The following is an 8314-nucleotide window of genomic DNA, read 5'->3' as shown; positions in this document are numbered from 1 at the left end:
CCATATAAATGTTAGGATTTTTTTTTCTATTTCTGTGAAGAATGGCATTAGTATTTTGATAGGGATTGCATTGAATCTGTAGATTGCTTTGGTTAATATGGACATTTTAACAATATTGATTCTTCTAATCCATGAACATGAAATATCTTTCTATTATTTTGTGTCCTCTTCAATTTCTTGCATCAATGTTTTATAGTTTTCATTGTAGAGATCTTTCACTTTGGTTAAATTTAACCCTAGGTATTTTATTTTATTTCTGGCAATTGTAAATAGGACTACTTTCTTGATTTTTTATTCAGATTGTTTGTTGTTGGCATATAGAAGTGATACTGAGTTTTTTATGTTGATTTTGTGTTCTGCAAATTTACTGAATTTGTTTATCAGTTCTAACCATTTTCTTGTGGAGTCTCTGGGTTTTTCCTGGCCACCTCTGCTGCAAACAATGATGACAACAACCTCTTCATCTATGACTGCAGTGCTGCAGAATAGTCACAAGAAAATAAAGGGGAGGACGGGCTGCCCTTGGTCTGGGGGAGTGGCATGATTCTGGCATCCACCTCCAAGTCTGGCGCTATTTTGCTTTAACAGATGACCACAAGCGTCTGATTCTTTTCCATACAAAACCATGGCAATGTCTGAGTGTCAGGACCATGGCAAGGAGGTGTAGGGCCCTGACCTTACAGCCTCTGAGGAGAAGGTCTTGGTGGCCGACAAATCTGGAGATGTGTACTCCTTTTTGGTTTCAGAGCCACACAGATGCGGCAGACTTGACCTGGCACACCTGTCAATGTTGTTAGAGGTGACTGTGAGTCCTGATAACTGCTTCATCCTCACTGCCAACCCGGATGAGAAGATCCAGGTCAGCTAGGCCACAGCACCTCACAGTATCGAGTCCTTCTGCCTCGGGCACACGGAGTTTGTGAGCCGCATCTCTGTGGTGCCCACTCAGCCCGAACTGTTTCTTGTCCTCCTCCAGGGACTGCACTCTTAGGCTCTGGGAGTACAGAAGTGGCCATCAACTGCACTGCTATCACCTGGCCAGTCTGCAAGTGCTGATGGGCCCCTGGGACACCGGAGGTTTGTCACATCCGGGATCACGTTCTGGTGCTAGGAGAACTGCATGACGCTTCTGTGCAACTGTATTCCTGTAATCTACATCTTCCAGCTTGATGCTCTCAGACTGCTAACTTAGTGTACAGGCAGCATCTGTCAAGCTAGCACCATGTGTGGGATGTGGCTTTCGAGGAGACCCAGGGGCTGTGGGTGCTGCCGGACTGCCATGAAATCCCCTTGGTGCTCTGCAGGCCTGTAGGTGGCCAGTGGCATTCTGTTCCTGAATGCACTGTGTTTAAAAAAAAAAAAAAAGTCTCCAGTGTTATTCATGGGAACTGGGCCATGCTGGAAGGCTCTAACGTCACAGATGCCAGCTTCAGCAGTCTCTACAAGGCCATCTTCGATAACATGACCTTCTATCTGAAGAAGAAAGAGGAGAGACTGCATTAGCAGCTGGAGAATTCCCCCACCTGGGCCCCAAACCAAGAAGTTGAGGCCGGGTGAAGTGGCTTTGAGTTGTTGACCTTGGTGGTTGGTAGTGCCTCTTACAACCTTGAAACAGCAGAAGCAGTTTTAACTTGTTCCCTCCTCATCCTGGCATCTCCCTTTAAGAAGGAAAAGATGACATTAGTTAGGTCTGACCAGCTCAGCTCAGTGGATGGAACGGTCTCCTGGGCTCTAGAACATTCTGTATCACTGAGCATAGGCTCTTGCCTGGTGTCTGTGCCCCCTTCTGGTTGAAGAGAAGCTGTGCAGGGCATTAGCTCAACTAAGAGACTATGGGGCAGAGTGGAAGTGCTGGAAGCATTTTATCTTCATGTTGAAGGCAATCTATTAACCTGTAGCAGTGGCAGCTGTTGATTTTTCTACCGTACTCATAATGATGTTCATGCTGGACATGTCTTCCTCTAAGATGTATAGGCAGACATTTTTGCAGTGGCATGGAGGATGTTTTCATGTTTTTCCTTCCATCTCAGGTGGTGTGCTGCTTTCCAAGTAGCCACTTGCCGCACTATTGAAACTCAAATAGAACTAACTCTTCAGCCATTCCCAGCTCCAGCCACACTTCGTGTGCTCAGGAGCCACATGTGGTGAGTGGCTCCTGCATGGGAAGTGCAGAAACATGATTCCCATGTCACAGGGAGCTCTCTCTGGCAGCACTGGTGCAGAAGGTGAACTTGTTTCAGCAAGTGTGAAGGCATGGGCCCTGGCTAGAAACCTAGTTTTACAGAGAAATGATCGAGAATATCGTATTTATTACTTTGATTTGACCTTTGCACACACTACAGAGCAGCAGCAGTGTCACTGAATTCCAATCACCTATCAATAAGGACGAACTTTTGCAACTTTCTGGAAATCTTTAGCAGCAATATACAGAATTAGACTCAAAACATATTGAGCAAAACATTTGGGTGCATGCACTGTTTGTGACTGAAGTGTTCAGTCACAAATTGAACACTTCTGGGAAGTGATTTGGGAAGAAAGATTCTGTGATGGTTTGGCTTCTAGATACATCAGGTAATTTGTTCATTTTAGCTTCTACCCACTCTCCAATGATTAAGTTTCAAACACAGGAGTGACTGTACATGTTGGTGATAACTTGGGTGTGGGGTTTCGCTGGGGCCTTAGAAACAAAAGCTGTATCAAAAGCTGGAGTGCTTCAAGTTTTTCATAAATGCCTTGTTTTCCTTAAAAAAAGACACTCTTATTTTATTTTTTCCGTAAGTTATTGCGGTACAGATGGTATTTGGTTACATGAGTAAGTTCTTTAGTGGTGATTTGTGAGATTTTGGTGCACCCATCACCTGAGCAGTATACACTCTGACATGTCCAGCATGAACAGTATTACGAGTATGGTAGAAAAATCAACAGCTGCCACTGCTATTGGTAGTCTTTTATCCCTCTCCCCACTCCCACCCTTCCCTCCAAGTCCCCAAAGTCCATTGTATCCTTCTTATGCCTTTGTGTCCTCATAGCTTAGCTCCCACATATCAGTGAGAACATACAGTGTTTGGTTTTCCATTCCTGAGTTACTTCACTTAGAATAATAGTCTCGAATCTCATCCATACTGCTACAAATGCCTTTAATTCATTCTTTTCTATGGCTGAGTAGTATTCCATTGTATATATATACCACAGTTTCATTATCCACTCATTGATTGATGGGCATTTGGGTTGGTTCCACAAATTTGCAATTGCAAATTGTGCTGCTATAAACATACATGTGCAAGTATCTTTTTTATATAATGACTTCTTTTCCTCTGGGTAGATACCCAGTAGTGGGATTGCTGGATCAAACGGTAGTTCTACTTTTAGTTCTTTAAGAAATCTCCACACTGTTTTCCATAGATGCTGTACTGGTTTACATTCCCACCAGCAGTGTAGAAGTGTTCCCTGATCACCACATCCAAGCCAACATCTACTGTTTTTTGATTTTTTGATTATAGCCATTCTTTCAGGAGTAAGGTGGTATTGCATTGTGGTTTTGATTTGCATTTCCCTGATCATTAGTGATGTTGAGCATTTTTTCATATGTTTGTTGGCCTTTTGTATATCTTCTTTTGAGAATTGTCTATTCATGTCCTTAGCCCACTTTTTATGGGATTGTTTGTTTCTTTCTTACTGACTTGTTTGAATTTGATGTAGATTCTTGATATTAGATTCCTTTCTCAGATGTGTAGATTGTGAAGATTTTCTATAAAAATTCTAGAAGATAACATTGGAAAAATCCTTCTAGACATTGGCTTAGGCAAGAATTTCATGACCAAGAACCCCAAAGCAAATGCAATAAAAACAAAGATAAATAGTTGGGACTTAGTTAAACTAAAGAGCTTTTGCATCACAAAAGGAACAGTCAGCAGAGTAAATAGACAACCCACAGAGTGGGAAAAAAGGCATTCGTAATGGTGCCTCAAAGACCTTCACAGCCTGTGAGAGGTAAATCTGTTTCCAAAAGCACCCTCTGGTACTTTAGCAGCTGAGCAGATATGGAAAGAAACATGACTTCCTTAAAATATTTCAATTCAATCAGGCTCCTAAAATGTAACCTGTGGATATAGTTTGAATATATGTCCCCGTCAAATCTCATGTTGAATTGTAATCCCCAATATTGGAGGTAGAGCCTGGAAGGAGGTGTTTGGGTCATGGGGTAGATCCTTCATGGCTTGGCGCTGTCCTTGCAATAATGAATGAGTTCCATGAGATCTGGCTGTTTACAAGTGTGTGGCACCTACCCCTCCCCACAAATCTCTCTCTTGCTCCTGACCTGGCCATGTGATGTGCCTGCTCCCACTTTGCCTTTCACCATGAAAAAGCTCTCTGAGGCCTTCCCAGGAGCCAAGTAGATGCTAGAACCATGCTTCCTGTACAGCTTGCAGAACTCTGAGCCAATTAAACTGCTTTTCTTTATAAATTACCCAGTCTCAGATATTTATTTATAGCAATGCAAGAACCACCTAATATACCTGTGTTCCTCAGGACACCAGCATAGAGATAAAAATAGGGTCATAGTAATGATGAACTCCAATCAGTACTTTTCTGACTGAACCTGCTTTGATGAAGCCCCAGATCCCCTCCCTAATGCCTCCTAAGTACTTTTTGGTGTATCTCACGGATTTCTCATGTGTGCTCTGAAGAACAGTTCTCTTCAGCTCCAGCTTCCCCTCACTGTGGTCATCCACGTCTCTTGGTGCTGACAATAACTGCTGCTGTACCAAAGACTGTGTCAAGGGCACACTCTCCCATGACTACAGTGGTCATTAGCACCTTGCCCCATAGCCGAAGAAACAAATACAAGTATCTGTCATTGATCCCATAATTTTAAGTACAAACATCGAAGATGGGTATTTAGGATTGAAAGGTTTTGTTGCCCGTCTTTCTAAATGTCTTAGGAATTTGCTGGTCTGGGGCAGAAGGGGAGAAGACAGTATTGGGCAGGCACAGCCAGCAAAGCCATGGTGAGAATTTTCAGGCAGTCACAGTATTCACAGATGAGTTATAGAGATATACAATCCTCCAGAGCCAATGGAATGACAACAGGAACAATTCTGAAGGCCAGGGAAGATCAAGAACTTAATGTTTAGGCCTGAGAAAGCATGTGAATGTTGAATGGATTCAAGTTTGTTATTTTAAGAAACTCAGCCATGAAAAGGTGGTAACACAGAATTCGGTAGTTTGGAAAGAAGCACTAATGTCTTGGACTCAAAAATTTAGTTCTGACTTTGCCTAAGTTCTTCTGTGACTGAAATGTTACATAGTGTCTGTTCCAAGACTCCCCAGTACCAGACTTGATAGCAAGGCTTCTCCACAAACTACCCGTGGCAAAGAACCAGGCTTTTCGGTTTTCAATCCAGTATAAACAAATAGTTTTGTAAAGTAGTTCAAAAATGAATTACGAGAGTAACAACCATTTAAATGGTTGTTTAAATGGCCACTTTTTTTTTTTCTTTGGCAGAGCCAGTGCCTCAGCCTCCCAAGAAGCTGGGATTACAGACATGCGCCACCATGCCCGGCTAATTTTCATAATTTTAGTAGAGACGAGGTTTTGCCATGTTGCCCTGGCTGGTCTCGAACTCCTGGTCTCTAGGGATCTGCCCGTGTCGGCCTCCCAGAGTACTGGGATTACAGGCATGAACTACCGTGCTTGGCCTAGATGGCTACTATTTTTCAAAACCCAGAAAATAACAAGTGTTGATAAAGAGAAATTCGAATCCTGTGCTCTGTTGGTGGAATTGAAAAATGGGGAAACTGCTGTGGAAAACAGTATGAAGTTTTCTCAAAAAATTAAAAATAGAATGACCATGCCATCCAGCAATCCCAATTCTGGATATACAGCCAAAAGAATTGAAAGTAGCGTGTCTTAGTCTGTTTGCACTGCTGTAACAAAATGCCTGAGACTGGGTAATCTATAAATAACAGAACTTTATTTCTCACAATTCTGGAGGCTAAGTTCAAGATCAAGGTATCAGGATTTGATGTCTGGTACAAAGGGCCTACTCTCCACTTCTACCATGGCACCTTGTTGGTGCATCTTCTGGAAGGACAAATGCTTTGTCCTCACATGGCAGAAGGAATAGTAGGCAGTGAATCAACTCTCCAAACTCTTTTACAAGGGCCCTAATCTCATTCATGAGGGTTCTACACTTATGACTTAATCACCTCTTAAAGGCTCCACCTCTTTTTTTTTGGGGGGGGGATACTATCACATTGGTGATTAAGTTTTAACATATGAATTGGGAGGGGGCACATTCAGACCATAGCACAGGGTCTTCGAGGAATATTTACATGGCCATGTTCATAGCAGCACTAGTCACAGGAGCCAAGAGGTGTAAGCAACCCACATTTGCATGGACAGATGAATAGATAAACAAAATGCAGTGTATATATAACAATGGATTATTATGCAGCCTTAAAAAGAAAGAAACTCTTTTTATATGATACATTATGGATAAACCTTAAGGACATTATGCTAAGTAAAATAAGCCAGTCACAAAAAGACAAATACTGTATGATCCTATGTATATGAAGTATCTAAAGTAGTTAAATTCATAGAAACAGAAAGTAGAATGGTGGCTACCAGGGGCTTGAGAGAGGGGGAAAAGGAGAGTTATTGTTTAATGGGTATGAAGTTTCAGATCTTCAAGATGAAAAAGTTCTGGAGATCTGCTTCACAGCAGTGTGAATATACTTAACATTACTGAATTATACACTTAAAATGATTAAGATGGTAAATTTTGTTATGTGTTTTTTTGCTACAAAAATATTTAAATATAGCAGCTCTCTATTTAAAGATATGTTTAAACTGCTAGTACAAAATAAAAAATTGAAAGGCTAAAAAGTGAATTATAAGATAATAGAAATGAATTAACTCAAAATAATAAAGGACATTTATGAAAAACACACAGCTAAAATAATATTCAATTGTGAAAATCTGAAAGCTTTCCCCCTAAGATCAGGAACAAGACAAAAATGCCCACTTTCACCACTTCTATTCACATAGTACTGAAAGTTTTACCCAGAGCAATTAGGCAATAAAAGGAAATAAAAGGCACCCAAGTTGGAAAGGAGAATGGAAAACCCTATGTGCAGAGATAGGATCTTTTATATAGAAAATCCTAAGAAATTTTCAAAACAATTAGAACTAATAAAAAATTCAGCAGTGTTGCAGAATACAAGATCAATATGCAAAAATCAGTTGTATTTTTATACACTAACAATGCACAATCTGAAATGGAAACTTAAAGAAATTCTATTTACAATGCCATGAAGATAAATTAAATATATGGGAATAAATTTACACTTGATATTCAGCTTACACTTGTATACTGTGTAAACTTTCACTTACACAGTGAAAACTATAAAACATTGCTAAAAGAAATTAAAGATGACTTAAATAAATAGAAAGACATCCTGTATGCATGGATTGGGAGACAATGTTAAGATGGCAATATTGCCCAAAAAGATCAACAGAATCAAAATGCCAATGGCCCTTTTTCTTGTAGAAATTGAAAAGCTGATCCTAAATTTTTAAAGGAATTGCAAGAGACTCTACAAATAGCCAAAACAATCTTGACAAAGAACAAATTTTGGGTACTCACACTTCCAGATTTCAGAACTTATTACAAAACCATAATAATCAAAACAGTGTGGCATTCATGTATGGATAGACATATAGACTAATAGAATAAAATAGAGATTCCAGAAGTAAATCCATACACCTATGGTCAGTTGCTTCTCAACAAGAGTGCCAAGATAATTCAATAGGCTAAAGAGTAGTTTTTTCAAAAAATGGTGCTGGGACAGCTGGATGTGCACATGTAAAACTATAAAGTTGGAACTCTGTCTTAAAAACTATGCAACAAACAAATCAAAATTCATCAAAGACCTAAGTACTAAAGCTAAAACCATAAAACTCTTAGAAGAAAACATAAGGGTAAATCTTCATGATCTTGGATTGGCAATGGTTTCTTAGATAGGATAAAAAAGCACAGGCAACAAAAGAAAAAAATAGATAAATTGGACTTAATCAAAATTTTAAAACTTTTATGCACCAAAGGATGTTATCAAAAACTAAAAAGACAACCCACGGAATAGGAGAAAATATTTACAAAGTGTATATCTGAGAAGGATCTAGTATCCAGAATATATAAAATACTCTTACCACTCAACAATACAAAAGACAAACAACCAATTAGAAAATGGGTGAAGGACTTGAATAGACATTTCTCCAAAAAAGATACACAAATGGCAAACAATATATGGA

The 8314-nt window shown here is 39.8% G+C and overlaps 1 pseudogene, besides 2 other annotated features; it reads left to right on the top strand.

The window, feature by feature from the left end:
• Positions 418–1586, top strand: WDR4P1 (WDR4 pseudogene 1; annotated as a pseudogene).
• Positions 1700–1749: a silencer, noted in NCBI's record as "silent region_21021". NCBI's record gives its function as "represses an Ori minimal core promoter by ATAC-STARR-seq in GM12878 lymphoblastoid cells {active_cell/tissue: GM12878}" and the evidence as "EXISTENCE:reporter gene assay evidence [ECO:0000049][PMID:35858748]".
• Positions 3661–4183: an enhancer, noted in NCBI's record as "OCT4-NANOG hESC enhancer chrX:134595644-134596166 (GRCh37/hg19 assembly coordinates)". NCBI's record gives its function as "activates a minimal SCP1, AML or CMV promoter by ChIP-STARR-seq in primed H9 embryonic stem cells {active_cell/tissue: H9 hESC(primed)}" and the evidence as "EXISTENCE:reporter gene assay evidence [ECO:0000049][PMID:30033119]".

The sequence above is a fragment of the Homo sapiens genome, chromosome X (assembly GCF_000001405.40).
Source record: "Homo sapiens chromosome X, GRCh38.p14 Primary Assembly".
NCBI lineage: Eukaryota > Metazoa > Chordata > Mammalia > Primates > Hominidae > Homo > Homo sapiens.
Note: the sequence above shows the minus strand (reverse complement) of the source record. Positions and strands in the feature narration are given on the sequence as shown.